This window comes from Homo sapiens, chromosome 22, assembly GCF_000001405.40.
Source record: "Homo sapiens chromosome 22, GRCh38.p14 Primary Assembly".
Classification (NCBI taxonomy): Eukaryota; Metazoa; Chordata; class Mammalia; order Primates; family Hominidae; genus Homo; species Homo sapiens.
Genome location: NC_000022.11, coordinates 19,988,415 through 20,004,553, shown reverse-complemented (window position 1 = coordinate 20,004,553; position 16,139 = coordinate 19,988,415). Strand labels below are relative to the sequence as shown.

Sequence of the window (16,139 nt, the reverse complement as noted above, 5' to 3'; positions counted from 1 at the left end):
TATGATAGATTTCTCTGTTTCTGCAAACAATGTCATTGGGATTTTTTTTTTCTTTTCTTTTTTTTTTTTGACAGGTCTTGTTCTGTCATCTAGGCTGGAATGCAATGGTGTGATCCTAGCTTACTGCGGCCTTGAACCCCTGGGTTCAAGCAGTTCTTTAGCCTCAGCCTCTGACTAGCTAGGATTACAGATACATGCTACTATGCCTGGCTGTCATTGGGATTTTAATAGGAATTGCACTGAATCTGTAGATCCCTTTCAGTAGTATCGTCATTGTGACAGTGGTAAATCTTCCCAGCCATGAACATGGGATATCTTTCCACTGATTTAGGTCTTTTTAAATTTTTCTTGGTAATGTTTTATAGTTTTCAGTGTACAGATCTTAAGTTTCTTAAGTTTAGTATTATGTATTCTATTCTTTTTAATGGTATTGTAAATGGAATAGTTTTTTTAAATTTCCCTTTCAGGTTGTTCATTGTTCATATATAGAAATGCAACTGATTTCTGGGTATTCATTTTTTATCCTGCACCTTTGCTGATTTCATTTTTTACATCTAATAGAGTTTTTAAAAAATGCATGTAGAATCTTTACGGTTTTATATAAGGTTATGTCGTCTATGAACAGAGATGGTTTTTCTTTCTTTCTAATTTGGATGTCTTTTATTTCTTTTTCTTGCCTAATTACTCTGTCTAAAACTTCTAGTACTATGTTGAATGGAAGTGGTCAAAACAGCCATCTTTGTCTTGTTTATGATCTTAGGAGAAAAGCTTTCAGTCTTTCACCATTGAGTATGATGTTATGGGCTTTTCACATATAGCTTTCATCATGTTGAGAAAGTTTCCTTCTTTTCCTAGTTTGAGTGTTTTTATCATGACAGACTATTGAATTTTGTTAAATGTTTTTCCTGCATCATTTGACATGATTGTGATTTTTGTCCTTTATTCTATTACTGTGGCGTATTACATTGATTGATTTTTGTACATGGAACCATCCTTGCATTCCAGGAGTAAAATCCCACTTGGTTAGGTTTATAATTCTTGTAAAATGCAGCTGAATTTGGTTTGCTAGTGTTTTTTTGTTTGTTTGTTTGTTTTGAGAATTTTTGTTTCAGTATTCATAAGGGTTATTGGCCTGTGGTTTTCTTTTCTTGTAGTGTCTTTTCCTGGCTTTGGTATTAGGGTAAGGCTGACCTCATAAAATGAATTAGGAAGTGTTCCTTCCTCTTTATTTTTGGGAAAAGTTTGAGGACGATTGGTGTTAAAATTACTTGAATGTTTGGTAGAATACACCAGTGAAACCATCTTTGCTGGAGGTTTTTGATTACTGATTCAGTTTTGTTGCTAGTTGTAAATCTAATCAATGTTTTCTATTTCTTCATGATTCAGTCTTGGTAGGTTGTGTGTTTCTAGGAAATTTTTCCATTTCATCTGGGTTATCTAATTTGTTGGTGTATAATTCTTTATGGTAGTCTGTTACCATCTTTTTATTTTAATGTTATACAAAGAAAAGGAAAACAAATTGAGGTTTTTTTTTGTTCTGTTTTATTGTTTGATTGTTGTTTGGCTTGGTTAGATTTTGTTTTGTGGTTCTTGGATTTGTACCTAATCTGTTGGAGTCATCAGTCCACAAACCCATGAATTTCCTGAGCCAGTAAAAATGCTTCCAATGGGCAGCTGACAGAGGACTGCTACAGACAACTGGAGCTGCCTTAATGCATTCAGAATCGCAGGCCCTTGCTGAAAAAATCAATTCCACACATCAGCAGCTGCTATTCCCTTGACACAATCTTCATGCGCAGGCTGTGGGCTTCTCACAAACTTGTGGTGGTGGCAGCCCCCAAATTTGAATCCCAGCAGTGCAAGCACAGGATCCCTTGGGTTATCCAGGCCTCATTTACTCCTGAATTCTTCTCTTCTTTTGGTTCTTAAAACTACTTCTCTGGGTAGTCCAGGGCTCTAGGTAAGATGAGTTTGCTGCCTCTGAAAATCCAGAAACCTCACCATAATTTTTCCTTATGGGGTTTCAGAGCGATGTTAACTTTGTAAAAGATCTCAAGTAGAGAGGAGAGGCGTTTGTTTGTTTTAACAAAGCTGTCAGCTCTTTTTTATCATAAAACAGCTTCTGAGCTGTGAGAGACGGGAGCCAGGCAGCAGGCAGCAGCGTGTTGAGGCTGACATTTACAGAGGGACAGTATGCAGCCCCTGCAGGCCTGCAGACGGCCTGGTATAGAGAGAGGCCCAGGCTTCAGCACAGCCCGCAGGTCAGAGCTGGGCACCCTCCTCCCTACACCTCGAAGTGGACACAGCGCATTTAGGAGCCAGAGGAAATGAGACTGAATTGTAAAAGCCAGAGGTAGACACATCCGTGACTTCCTGGGCTTCTTTTCTGGACAGAAGGCTCACACCCTAACTCAGATTCCAGCCCTGACGCTGATAGCCCCGTTGGACGTACTCCTGTTGAGGTGGTTTCTGGCCGTTTTTCTGTGGTTGGAAGAGCACTGTCTGTCGTTCTCGCTCTGGAAACTCCTATCATGTGGAAGTTTGGCCCTGGGCTCTGTCTTCTGTGGCTCCTACCATCCTCTTGTCATCTCTCCTGTTTGCTGTTGGGGTTGGGAGGACCGTCTTAGTGTACTTTCTCCAGCCTCACACTGCGTGTTTTCTACAGTCTGCTGTTTACTGCCTCTGCTGGGATTTCCTTTAAATCTCCATGGGATCCTCATTATTTATAGCGGCTCCTTTTCTTTCTTTCTTTTCTTTTTTTGAGATGAAGTTTTGCTTTTGTTGCCCAGGCTGGAGTACAGTGAGGTGATCCTGGCTCACCACAACCTCTGCCTCCTGCCTCAGCCTCAGTCCTGAGTAGCTGGGATTACAGGCATGCACCACCACACCCAGCTAATTTTGTTTGTATCTTTAGTAGAGATGGGGTTTCTCCATGTTGGTCAGGCAGGTCTCGAACTCCCAACCTCAGGTGATCCTCCCACCTTGGCCTTCCAAAGTGCTGGGATTATAGGTATGAGCCATCGTGCCCAGCCAGCAGCTCCTTTTCATTGTGGTCTGTGGCCAGCGGAGTTGAACACCGTCTTTAACCTTCTAGGGCACATACCAGCTGTTTCCTAAGAAATGCGCTAAATGTGACTCAGCGGGAAGCGGCTTCCTGAGTCCTCCCATGGTGGAAGGGTCTTCCCTGGGCACTAGGCTGCTGTAAGTTGTGCTTGTCCCTGCAGGTGGGTCTGTGCAAGCTCGGGGTCTGCAGGCCCAGCCACTCCCACCTGTCTCAGAGGAACCTCATGTGGGATCAGAGGCAGGGGGTCCTGCAGATCTTGGTGTCAGGGGCAGGCTTGACCCGGCCTCAGGGGTCTCAGAGGGGGTCTGCCTTGCCCGGTGTCCAAGACAGGAATGGAGTCTGCCTAGCATGCTGATCTTCACCAGGAGCCAAGATGTCCCCCACCCCCCAAAGGGCCTGTCGGGACTTCTAGGTGGGATAAGCAGCAGCCATATGGGTGTGGACGAGTGTGCCTGCTGGTGCGTGTGCCTGTGGGGCAGCTGTGGGTCCCTGTGCCTGGGTGTGCTTGTGTGTGTGTCTGTGTGTGTCTTAGTTCATTCACGCTCTGCCACCAAATACCTTAGATGGAGTCCTTTATAAACAACAGAAACATACTGTTCACAGTGCTGGAGGCTGGGAAGTCCAAGATCGAGGCGCCAGCAGATTCCGTGTCTGGTGAGGGCTATTGATAGATGGCGCTGTGTGTCCTCTCATGGTGGAAGGGGTAAACCAGCCCTCAAGAGCCGCTTTGATAAGGACACTGATCATATAAGGGCACTAATCACCTCCTAAAGGCCCTACCTCTTAATACTGTCACATTGGAGATTAGGTTTTAATGTGAATTTGGGGAACACTAGCATTCACACCGTAGCAGTGTGGGTGGCTGCACACATGTGCCAGTAGGTGCCTTTGAGGAGGGCCCCAAACTGTCAGCACTTCTCCCACCTCTTTGTAGTGGGGACTGGACACACAGTCAAGTCCCGAGGCTCTCCTGGTATGTGGCGGTGGGAGCCAGATGGGAGGCTGCAGGGCCTGGAATCTGCCCTGGATGGGGTGGTGCAGCCCCCTGCCTGGCCCTCTGTGTTGCTTGCATATGAAAGGCAGGACTTTGTGCACTTGCTGGAGGTTGGTGTCTAGGCCTGTTGCCATGGGCACTCCGGAGTGGAGCTGGCTCCCAGCAGAGGAGGGGGTTGGGAGCGGCAAGGCCAGCATCCAGCTCAGGCTCTGGAAGGGATGAGCGGTGCCCCAGGCACCCTGGGAGCAGCCAGCTCTGGCCAGAGGCCACACAGGACCCTGGGGCAAGGGCAGACCAAAGGGGACATGGAACCTCCCTGCATATGACAGGGTGGGCTCTACTTCATGCTGGGTCAAGATCTCACACCACTGGCTCCTCTGATGTGCTGGGTGGGAGAAGGGTACAGTGAGGAGCACCTTTCCCAAGGGTTTTGGGACTTTCAGGGGACAGGCTGTTGTCCCCAAGGGCTGGCAGCACTGCCTCCTTCCTGAGGCTCACCTCTCAGTGCTGGGTCCTCGTTCTGCCCCTTCCAGTGCAGGGAAGATGATGGCTGGGAAAGTGACTTTGTCCCCTTGTTCTAGAAGGTCAGGGGAGGGTCCTTTGGAGGAGGCAGTGGGGCTTGCACCTGTCTTATCTCTCGGCTTCACAGGCTGAAGGTGCCGGTGGTTCTGTCTCCAGCCTGAACCCCTTTCTTCCAGAACTTCATGCATCTAGTGGTCCCTCAGCCTCTCCAGCCTCAGAGACTCCCTTTGCACCCTCCCACTCAGGGTCCCGGCCCCTCCCTCCAGCCACCCAGGCCTGATCCCTTGCGGTCAGCCCAGACTTAATTCTCCCACCCACACCATCCTCTGATCCATTCTGAACCATATGGCCTACGTCCACCACAGCAACCACCCTATGGCCACTCCCTGCCACGGCAGCTGGAGGGTCCCAACCCCCACCCCTGTGCCTGCAGGTGTCAGCAGAGAGTGGGGTGCCAGTGGGGAAGGCAGGTTGGGAGGGGTGTGGTGAGGGCCTCCATTGGGGGTGCAGCAAGTGCTTGCTGACCCAGGCACTGCCCTGTGGGGGCAGCCCTTGGCCCCACTCCCTAGTAGTCAGGTAGATTTGCCTACAAAAGGATGGATCTCTCCCTGGGCCAGTGCCTCCTCGTGCTGCCGCAGGGGGCCAGTGATCCCCACCCCAACCCCACCCCAGGGGCTTAGTTAGCAAAGCTGCTGTGGGTCAGAGTGAGGTCAACTCGGGAGGGCCTCTAGGCAGGGCGCCCACATGCAGGGAGCTGCCAGGTGCCTGGTCAGCAGCAGTCAGTGGGTGGGGGCAGGGACTCTCAGGCCAGTACAGGAGGGGCTCCAGGGCTGGGAGTCTGGGGAAATGTGGCCTGGCCTCCTCTGCCTCCCTGGCTGTGGGGCTGTAGCATGGATGGGACAGCCATGCTGTCACTGTGCCAGGGACCCACATCATCCTCAGGGTTCCATTTCCCCAGCCCTGGAATAAGCCAAGCCATGGTGAGGTTCCGTTTTATCCAACTCTGGCCTGTCCCAGAGTTGTGGCTGCAGCAAGGCCAGTGACATTTCCCCCTGGGCGGATAGGTGAAGACGGAGGCTGAGGCTTGAGAAGTGAGAGGACAGTAAACTGAGTGGGGCCCAGATGCCAGGGCCAGTCCTCTCGGCACACCTGGTGCCAGACCTCCCACTGTCTGACCTGCCGTCTCACGGCCCCTGCCTGCCCTCCCACGGAGGACTTCCTGTCCCCATCTCCCACCAGGCACTGTTCCTGCAGCCATCCTGGGCATTTCCTGACTGGCGGGAGCTCCCCTGCCAGTGCTGTTTTCCACTTATCTAAGCAGAGTGTGTTCTTTGTCAAAACAACAGAGGGGAAAGCAGGAACCCCCCAGCTCCTGCAGAGAGGCTTCTCGGTGCTGTCTCTGCCCAGCCTCAGCCTGGCCTCCTGGGCTGTCCGGCTCATCCATCCGGAGACCCTTCTGGGTGGGCAGCTGGGGCGGGCTGGCCTAACCTGAAGGCTCTCCTACCTCAGCTTCCTTGGCTCCGAAACCTGGGAGGGGGGCTGGGCCGGCGGGCCCTGCTTTACCCCCCAGGGGCCCTTTGGCCACAGGCTCCCAGGGGCTGCACCCCACCTCCCCTCAAAGGGGCTTTGTGTCACCACAAAGAGGCTCTGTCCCTCAGGAGAAGCCTGGGTGTTTCCATGGTGATAGAGGGGCTGGGAAGAAGGGGTCTAACCCCGTCTTCCAATGAGGGGGGAAAGGGCGTTGCAGGCGGACGGCCCTGTGCACTCAGGCTGGTGGCCAGCGTGGTGACTGCTGCACCTGCCCGCTGAGGCCCCTCAGCCTGGTGGACAGCTGTCTCCTACAGTGCCTCAGTGGGGCCGTAGGGCATGGTAGGGCAGGGCTCCCAGGCCCTGTGGCTGTCTGCCTCTGATCCCAGCCTAGCTGTGAACCCTGTCAGTTCGCTCCTCAGGGATGCTTTGGTCCCTGTGCCCACCCCAGAGTACAGAGGACGGGGCTCAGCTCCATGTCTGGGCCTTTTACACCCCGCCTCCGCCTCCACTGCGCCTGCCCTCCCTAAGGCAGGGCATGGGCCACACGGCACCTTGCGGGGTGGGTGCCCGTCCCGGTAAGCCGTGGAGGCAATGGGCCAGCCACCGCCACCAATGTCCGGCCCACTTAGTAGGGCACTACACCTCTCCACACTCCTACAAACTTCATGCTCATCATTGGGGGCGGAGTGGGTGGGCTGAGTGTGCAGGGGAGAAGACACTGCACTGGCAGCCTCTGCAGCCCTCTCCCTGGAGCTCCCCAGCCTTTGAGCCCTTGGTGGTGCCCTGGGCAGGATGCAGCAGGGAGCCCAGAGAATGTGGCCCCTCACTGCCACTACTCCACGGCTTGGAGTCTGCAGGACCACCCACTGCTGCAGCTGTAGCTAGAGTCTGGGTCAGGCACAGGAAGGGCATTGGGGGCTGTTTTGAATCGGGACCTGGAGGACTCCTTTCCACCCCATCTCATGTCTCCTCATGGAGAGGCAGGTCTCAGGAGACCAAGGAGACTTAAAGGATGCTGCTGTTGGCACAGGGAGCAGGTGTCTGTGACCTGCTGGATTGAGAATCTTAAGCCCAGACCCTTTAGGGACCTCCAGCAGTGGCTCCCTGTGGCTCATGCCTCCCACAGAGGAGGGACAGTTGCTGGGACACTCGCCTGCCCTGCCTGCTCACCTGTCACGTCCTGCCTGCAGTCACTGGGCTCGTTCGGCCACTAGAGCCAGCCCTTGCCCTAACCTTAGGCTTCCCAGCTCCCTGGCCCCCAGCAGTGACCCTGCCTTGACCGGACCCCAGCTTCCGTATCAGCCCCACACAGCCCCTAGTCCCCCTGGACCTCCCATCCAGCATGCCCCCTGGGGCTGGCCAGTGTAGCTTTGGTCTTGGCCACCTTTGGCCTTGGGCACTGCATTAGTGCAGGGCAGGAGCAGCGTGGGAAGAGGCCCTTTCTGAGTATTCTCCCTGGACATGGGAGTGGTCCCTCACATGATCAGCGGGTGCCACTGAGTGAGCATGTGGACAGCCTGGGGAGCTATCTCTGTCCCTCTACCCAACCCCCGATGGCGTCTCATCCAGCCTGGCTCATTGCCTCTGCTGGGGAAATCAAATTTCCAGGCTGAATCTGATTATGGCTCTCTGACAGTGGGCACCGCCCTGGCCCCTGGGGAGATTGGTCCCTGGCCTCTGCTTTCACTCGCCTGCCTGGTGGGGAGGGTATCTGGTTTGTCTATTTCCTACTGAGGTTCTGATTATGCCAGCGGCGCGTGCTTCGAGGAGTGGTAGACTGGCAGGGGCAGGACTGTGGGGCTCTGGAGCAGCCTATGAGAGCACCTAATGGGCTGAGGATGCCACTTTGTTGTTGTATGTTACAAATACTTGATCCCAACATGTCGATTGTCTTTTCATTTTCTTTGTGGCTGCTTCTTCCATTATGGAAAATTACAAAAGCACAGAAGTGGAGAGCCTAGTGTGATGGGTCCTGCACACCCCACACCAGCCTCACCATGCTGGAGTCATGGTCTGCGAGTAACGCCAGCACCCGTCATTTCATCAAAACGCTCACTGCATGTGTTGCTCTAAATGGTGTCAGTTCTTTAAAAAACATGACCACACTGTGTGGCCCTTTTTTTTTTTTTTGGATATACAGAAAGTTTCATTCTCACAAAGTCACGCTTGTGCGTCTTTCCTCGGGGGTTCTTTCTGCTGCTTGGAGGCTGAGAACAGTCATCCCCAGCCCAGGCACCCCGGATCCAACACAGTCTGCAAGGGACTGTGGTCCTGGCCTTGGCACAGATGGATGTGGACTCCGCCCTGTGAACCCCAGGCCCCCGGCTCTGGCCCTGTCCCAGCTTGAGTACAGTGCCCGGCCAGTGGGCTTGGCCAGAAGCTACCCACAAGGCTTTGGGCACCATCTGACCACAGTAGGGGCAACAGGGTAAACATGGGGCCCCCACAAGGCCTGGCCAGCTAGGGGGACGAGGAAGTCTCTGTGCTGGCAGCTCCCAGGATGTCCTCCCAGGCAGAAGGTGGGTGCTGGGCCTGGGTCCAACTCCTGCCAGGGCACTTCTGGCATCATTTCCTCCTTGTAGGGAAGGGTGGAGGGGAAAGGGGGTATGGGAGGAGGCTCGATGGTCATCCGTCCCGTCTCTCCCCTCGAGGGGGGGGCCAGCGCAGCCCTGGCTGTGTTCTGGTAGACAGCTGGCAAGGGGTCAGGATGGGAGCCAGGCCCCGCCTGCCACCCTTCACTGGCCTGACCCTTCGGAAATTCCTCTAATTCCTCAACCCACACTGGACTCGGGCCCCATAATTTCATTTTCCGGACAAGGCTCTGGCCGCACTCCCGAGGAGGAATGTCTGGGTTGGCAAGATGTCGTCAAATGTCAGCTTTGGTTTCAGGGAAAGGATTTAGCTTCTACCCTCAGGTTCCTCACCATGCCTTCGTGTTCCTGACAGTGTGTGCTGACCATGGTTTGCCCCAGAGGGTTTGCGGGCCGGGGCTTTCCCCACTTAGTGAGGTTCCAGCATTTCCTTCCTGCCCACCGGCCCTTACACAGCCCACCCCCCCTTCCATTCATGCATCGCACTCTGTTTTCTCCTTCATCCACTCCTCCATCCACCCAGCCTTCAGCATCCCATCTGCCCACCCTCCTACACATTCTTCCATCATCATTTTATCCCTCTACCACCACCCGTATCCATCCAGCCACCTTCCCATCCAACTAGCCACCATTCACCCATCCTCTCATCTCCCCTCATTTTCTTATATAACCACCTATTAGTCTCCTGTCCACACACTTGTTCACTCACTCAGTTACACCCCCTTCTATCTGGCCTCCTCTTCTCCCATCCCTCCAGCCACCCACCCACAAATCTATTACTCATCCATCCATTCATCTGTAAACCCATCCAATCATCCATCTAGCTGTCTACCCTTCTATGACTTCATCCACCTCCCTATCCATTCACCCGTCTGTCTGTCCATACCCCTCATTCCCCAATCTGTCCATCCGTCTGTCCATCCTCCACCATCCCCCCCCATCCATCCATACGTTCATCCATCCATCCCCCACCATCCCATCTATGCGTCTGTTTTTCTCTCTGTCCATCGCCTACCATCCTCCTACCCACCCATCCATCCATTCATCTATATCTTCATCTCCCACCATCCCCCGACCCACCCATCCATCCATTCATCTATATGTCCATCTCCCATCATTCCCCCCCACCTACCCACCCATCCATCCATTCATCCATATGTTCATCCTCCACCATCCCCCACCCACCCATCCATCCATTCATCCATATGTTCATCCTCCACCATCCCCCCACCCACCCATCCATCCATTCATCCATATGTTCATCCTCCACCATCCCCCCACCCACCCATCCATCCATTCATCTGTTTGTTCATCCTCCACCATCCCCCCACCCACCCATCCATCCATTCATCTATATGTTCATCCTCCACCATCCCCCCACCCACCCATCCATCCATTCATCTATATGTTCTTCCTCCACTATCCCCCGACCCACCCATCCATCCATTCATTTATTTGTTCATCCTCCACCATCCCCCCACCCACCCATCCATCCATTCATCTGTATGTCTATCTCCCACCATCCCTCCACCCACCCATCCATTCATTCATCTATAAGTTCATCCTTCAGCATCCCCCCGACCCATTCATTCATCCATCTGTCCATTCCCCACCATCCCCCATCCATCCATTCATCTCTGTCCATCTCCCACGATCCTCCGACCTGTCCATCAATCTGTCCGTCCCTCTGTCCATCCTCCACCACTGCCCCAGCCACCCTCCATTCATTCATCCATCCCCCATCCACCCCTGTATCCATCTGTCTGTCCATCCTTCGCTGTCTCTCCTTTGCTTGCCCTCCCTCTAGTCTTCCATGGGCTGTGTGCCTGGGGCCACCCTCTTCTCCTGCCATGCTTCTCTCCTCGGGCCACCTGCTTGCCCAGCAGTTTGTCCTGTGAGAGCACCTGGAGGCTCACGTCCTGGTCCTGGATTCCCTTGGGTACGTGGCCAATGTCCATTGTGGCTGGGGCTGGGTGGGGGCTGGGTCGTCACTTTTGTTTTGCAGTTTATTTTTCAGAGTTTCAGTTTAGCCCCGACCTTTCCAGCCCCCCTTCAGTTCCTGATGTTTTCTGGTTGGAACATGGTGTTGTCCACATGGTCCTGAAGTCTGGTCACTCGTGGGCTGTGCAATGTCATTCCTGCCTTGCGGCTAAGTAAACTTCTGGGGCCAGCATGTTTGGCAAGAAGTGGCCTCCTCAGAGTTGGGCATGAAGCTGGTTGCTGTGTTTTGGGTGGGGGGTCATGAGGGGTCCACCCGACAAGGCAATGCTGGGCCCTTACCAGGTTAGGGGAGGCCAAGGTGGCATTGGCTGGACAGCCAAGGTCCCTGCAGTGTCCCCCTTCCTAGCCTTCCCCCAGGGCCCTCCTGGGCTCTAGCAAAAGCAAATCCGGTGCCCACTCTGCCCAGCATCCACTCAGGCCCCATCGATCTTAAGAATCCATGCACATTTTGCTTTCCTTGACATCATATATTTATTACTTGAATATAAAAACAGCATTTTGAGTTACCATCTGAAAAGCAGCCCTCTTTGGTTCTGGGCCAGGATCCCTTGTATCCAGACTGGCTCCTGTCATAGGCCAGAGTCCACCATGTCAGGGGAGTGGGCCTGGGCCTTCTGTGCTCTGCCTGGAGCATATCCCGGGTTGCTCTTGAGACACCTGAGATGCCGAGGCCATGACCTGCGGGCCTAGGGCACTTCCCCCCAGGGCAAATGCAGGGTGCACCCTGCGGCTGGGGCAGATGGCACAGGCCCAGCACCAAGGTCTCTGCTCTCCTGAGCATGGCTGCCAGACTCTCCCCACAACACTGGCCAGTGTTTCTGGATGTTTCCAGGGAGATACATGATTGTTTTGCACCAATCAAGCCAAGTTCGGCAATGAGAAGGTCATCGTGGGGTTTGGTCACCTTCCCACTGTGGCCTTGGAGTACTGAGCCCTCAGCCAGAGCCAGTGGGCCCCCTTTAGGGTGGGCATCTTTAGTCCCCAGAGCCAGGGTGTGCTGGAGGGGCTTAGGTCAGGGAAGCTGTCCGCAGGGTCTGCAGCCCAAGCCTGGTCCTGCTAGATGGGGGATGGGGTGTGTGGTGTAGACGAGGGTCCATGTCTCTGCACAGGGAGGGAAGTAAGCCACCCCAGGTCCATGAGGCCAGTGGCTATCCTGTGGTCCTGATTGTTGCCATCCAAGGCAGCGTCCCATTTCCTTCTGTCCCTTGCTTCTGAGGTTCGGCTGAGATGGGCTGGTGCTGCAGCCAGGACTGGGCTGAGGGCTGGAGTGATATGGGCCCTGCCATCCGCCCTGGCCGTCCCAGGGGGAATACCCTACCATTCCCACCTCGGGCCTAGCACTAGGTTCAGTCCATTAGTGCACAAGGCTCCCCTGTGTTGGGTCTGGGGCCTGTGGGTAGACAGCATCAGGTGTGTAGAGAAGAGCTGTGTGACCATGCTTGGGGAGTGCAGTGCTGTTTATCCCTTTGCTGGAGCGCCCAGTCTGCACCTCAGTCTCGGGCGGCGGCCCCCAGCTCTCCCTGCATTCTTCCATTCTGTGGCTGGCTTAAAACAGCTCCTCCACTCATGCTGGCTTCCCCGAAAGGTTGTGTTGACAGTTTCATTTGTGGGACAGGTGCTGGGGAAATGGAGAGCAGCTTTGGGGGCCTGCACTGGTCTCTCGCTCTTGCTGGGCCTGTTTTCCCAGCTGTCGGTGGGGCTGGGCTCCACAGTGTCTCTTCACCTATGAGGTGCACCCATGTCCCCGCACCGTGTTGCTGGCGCAGCTGAGCCCAGCGCTGCTTTTCCTCTTGGGGGCTCTCTGTCCTTGCAGCTGGCTCCATCCAGACCAGTGAGCAGCAGTGCTGACGCTCTGGGGATGTCACCCGCAGTGCGTGTCCTCCCCGTGGAGGGCCCTATATTGGTGCAAGGGCAAGGGATCCAGCGGAGTTGGCCTCAGTGGGCTGGCGGGACTGGGCAGGAGGATGCCTGAGCAGCCCTGGGCACCCGGCCATGCTCACTGTGCTCCGGGCAGTGTGGCCTCGTGGCTATGCCCTGCCCACTGTGGTGAGCCTGGATTGGAGCTCCGCATACTTGTCCTGCTTCTTTTTACCCATGAAAAACAAACATTCTGGGCAGCCAGGGGGCAAGCTGGGAGGGAAAGTGCTGGTTTGTCTCTGCGGCTGCCAAGCCCTCATGGCCCCCGCCTGCTCCCCTGGGGCTCTGGGGCCCTGAGGGGCAACACTGGGCTGGGCCCAGCAGGCCCAATCCCACCCTGTGCTTGGCCTCAGATGCCTGGCCCCTGCCCTTTTCTGGATGAGGCATCACACACACCAGCCACTTCAGGCTTATGGTCTCTTAACTTCATGCAGTCCCAGCCAGAACCTCAACCAGGCTTGTCCTCAGTTTTTACTCTGTCATGTGTAGCAGCACCACTCTTGTTTCTGGCCAATGTGGATATGAGTGGAGGCTGGACTGCTGGTCTGCAGACCAGTGTTGCCAGGAGCTCTCAGGCTATGGTCACCTGCGCCTGCCTCGGGGTCTTGGGCACCCATCAGTGGAGCAGCTTCTCACTCCCTGCTTGCTGGCCACACTGGCCATGCCACACCAGCTGTGTGGCTACAAATGGTCCCCCACCCTTTCTTGGCCCTGGCATCTGCCTCTGTGAGATGGGAGTGGGGTGGCCCTGTGAAATGGAGGGTGGGCTGGCATGTGGTATGAGTGGCAGAGGGCCTGGGAGGTAAGAAGCTCTAATGAGCTCTTCCTGCCCTTCCCAGCGGGCTCCAAGCCGCCCACGGCCCATGTTTCTGCTAGGTCTAGCAGGAAGCAGAGGAGCCAGGTTAGAGTCCCAAAACCCATGGGGAGTGAGCCGGCTGCTTCCGGCCAGCCTCGGATTAATGGCTTTTAATTTAGAATTTAATCAGTGTGCTTCCCTCTAGAGGGCTGGATGCTCTGGTCTGGGAGTGAGTTGTATGGTCTGTGAGTGGGGCGGGCAGGGGCCCATGATGGCCTTGCCAGGCTGTGCCCCACCCCACTGAGCTTACTCTGCTTTGCCTGCAGCTGGCGGGCGCTCTGGTCATGGAGGACTGCAATGTGCACTCGGCCGCCAGCATCCTGGCCTCGGTGAAGGAGCAGGAGGCCCGCTTCGAGAGGCTGACACGGGCACTGGAGCAGGAGCGGCGCCATGTTGCCCTACAGCTGGAGCGTGCCCAGCAGCCTGGCATGGTCAGTGGTGGCATGGGCAGTGGGCAGCCCCTGCCAATGGCCTGGCAACAGCTGGTCCTCCAGGTAACAGCCTAGTGACTTGGGAAGGGTGAAAATTGCCAAGTGGGAAAACAATCAGTGGGTCCTGGTGGACCACAAGCCAGCATGCGCTCGCTTATTGCAAGATTTGCTGGGGCTCCTGGGGAGGAAAGGAAAATGGGATCCCAGGTTGGGCTGGAAGTCCCACTTGGGTGTACTAGGCACCATGTGAAGAGTGGGCAGGACACAGCCCAACACTCAGAACAGCACCCTCCACTGAGCCCTCAGGGCCCAGGCAGCTGGATGGGGTCTGTTCTGGGCAGCTCTTTGGTCTGCCTAGAGACACTTTAGGGGTTTGCCTGCACCATGCCTAACCCTGCCACAGTGTTCATTGCATGCACTGGTGGGTCAGCCCCAGGAGGAGGCCCAGAGCTCTGCCTGCAGCTTAGAGGCTGACCTGGGAGCCTCATTTTCTCTGCTGGCCATTATCCTCAGACTGGGCTCCGGCCCCTACTCAGCCTCAGGAGGTATAGAGCCTTCTGTGTTCCATGGCCAGGCCCTAAGAACTCTAAAGTTGGGGTATGCAGTGAGCAGTTAGACCACTGGGACACCCCATTCCCAGCACCCCAGTGCTCTAACCTGTAGATGAAACAGCAAGAGCCCCTGGCTTGGGGTTAGGAGGCCGGAACAAGTACATGCAGGGAGACTTGGGATGTGGTGTGATTATCATGGTTCCTGTTACTGACTGAGGGCTAGCACAGTGGGGAGTCAGGGTGGAGCTGTCCCAGCAGCCACGGGGAAGGGGGCTCTCCTCACCACCCAGCTTAGAGGCTGGGGGGGTTGCCTCCTGCTGCGGCCTCTGGGTTCTTCACAGAGTGACCCTAGAGGGCTCTCCCTGCAGAGTCCTGTCTCCCTGGCTCAGCTCCCTGCCCCGCTAAACCCAGCAGCCAGACCTCCCCCCAGCATACTCCCAGCACCTGCACCTCCACCCGCCCTTCTTTGGTCCTGCTGGGCCCTGACTCTGGGGACCTGCGCCTGGCACACACATGCCAGGAGCTTGGGGCAGCCTGGCCCTTCTCATCTAGAGAGAAAGGGAGCAAACGCTGGTCTCTGTTGAGGCAGCCCCATGGGCTCTCCTCACCTGGCTGGGGCATGTGGGGCTCAGAACCAGCAGCCTGTGTCAGGCCGAGGGACCTGGGGTTGGTGACTACTCCTTGAGTCTTGGTGTCCAGACTTGGTGTCGGCCAGCAGGCGTCATGCTTCCTACGTCTGCTCATGAGACCCACATAGAAGGCCCAGCCCAGCACCAGTGCATGGTGAGAGTCAAATTAATGTCCCCAGAGGGTCCGAGACTCACTAGGGGGCCCTTTTTCATGGCCCCTGGTGCTCAGAGGCCTCTGGTGGGTCTCGGTGCTGGGGCCACTCTCACAGCCCTCAGACTTGAGATACTCCAAAATGTGAGGCCTCTACCCTCAAACTTGAGGCGGGGAAGCAGAACGCTGGGCCCAGCTGGGCCATATAGGGACAGTGGAAGCCAGTGACCCCGAGGCCGCCTCTCAGGCGCCAGTGTGCTCAGTCCAACCCTCCCAGACCGGAACTGTCCTCGGACAGGCAGTGTGGGAGGACCCAAGGCACCCCGGAGGGTTGATGCCCTGGTGGGAAGATGTTCCCACAGCCTGGAGCTACCCTGACCTCCTCAGGCAAAAGACTTCAAGACCTCAGGCTACTGCCCCTCCACCTACCACCCCTGCCCCTGAACTCTCCCCCCGACCCCCTACCCTTGATTTTCTCAGGCTGGGATTGAAGAGAGCATGTGTTGCCAGGGCTGCAGCTCAACTGGCTGGGCTGATGAGGATACTAGGGGAGGCAGGGCCTCCTTGGGCTGGCCAGGTTTCCCAGATTGGTTTCAGTAGGAAGTGCCTAGCGATCTACCTGCTGAGCCACAGGGTCAGAGCCCGGGCTTTGGGAAGCCAGGGCAATGGCAAGGCAGGTAGCTGGGGGCTGAGGCTGGGGAACCAGGCTAGGGGGAGTGCTGCTGCACTCACTGGGCTGCTCCAGGGTCCTGGCTACCTGCCCTTCATCTTCCAGCAGGAAGGGGCCCCTCCTCTAGACAGCCAGCTGAAACAGGGCTGACGCCCACCCAGTGGGGAGGGGTGCCATCAGGGAACTTGCCTTGGGCTCGTCTTAGGTGGATAGGTGGCTGGGGCACTAGCTG

The 16,139-nt window shown here is 55.6% G+C and overlaps 1 protein-coding gene and 1 long non-coding RNA gene across 15 annotated transcripts in view; one reads left to right on the top strand and one right to left on the bottom strand.

Moving 5' to 3' along the window:
- The window catches only part of ARVCF (ARVCF delta catenin family member), a 51,690-nt gene that overhangs the window by 12,270 nt on the left and 23,281 nt on the right, over positions 1 to 16,139 (top strand). For all 14 annotated transcript variants that reach the window (XR_007067973.1, XM_011530179.4, XM_005261242.4 and 11 more), the window contains exon 3: positions 13,742 to 13,969. Coding sequence is in view for 13 of the 14 variants with exons in the window: in XM_011530179.4 (XP_011528481.1) it covers positions 13,760 to 13,969 (210 nt within the window). In the remaining variant the exon portion in view is untranslated. The remainder of the gene's footprint in view (positions 1 to 13,741; positions 13,970 to 16,139) is intronic.
- On the bottom strand, positions 2,962 to 6,143 carry LOC124905082 (uncharacterized). Its single transcript, XR_007068007.1, has 3 exons — positions 6,085 to 6,143; positions 4,557 to 4,635; positions 2,962 to 3,113 (listed from the first exon to the last, which is right to left on the bottom strand). It is a non-coding gene; the product is annotated as an uncharacterized LOC124905082 (long non-coding RNA).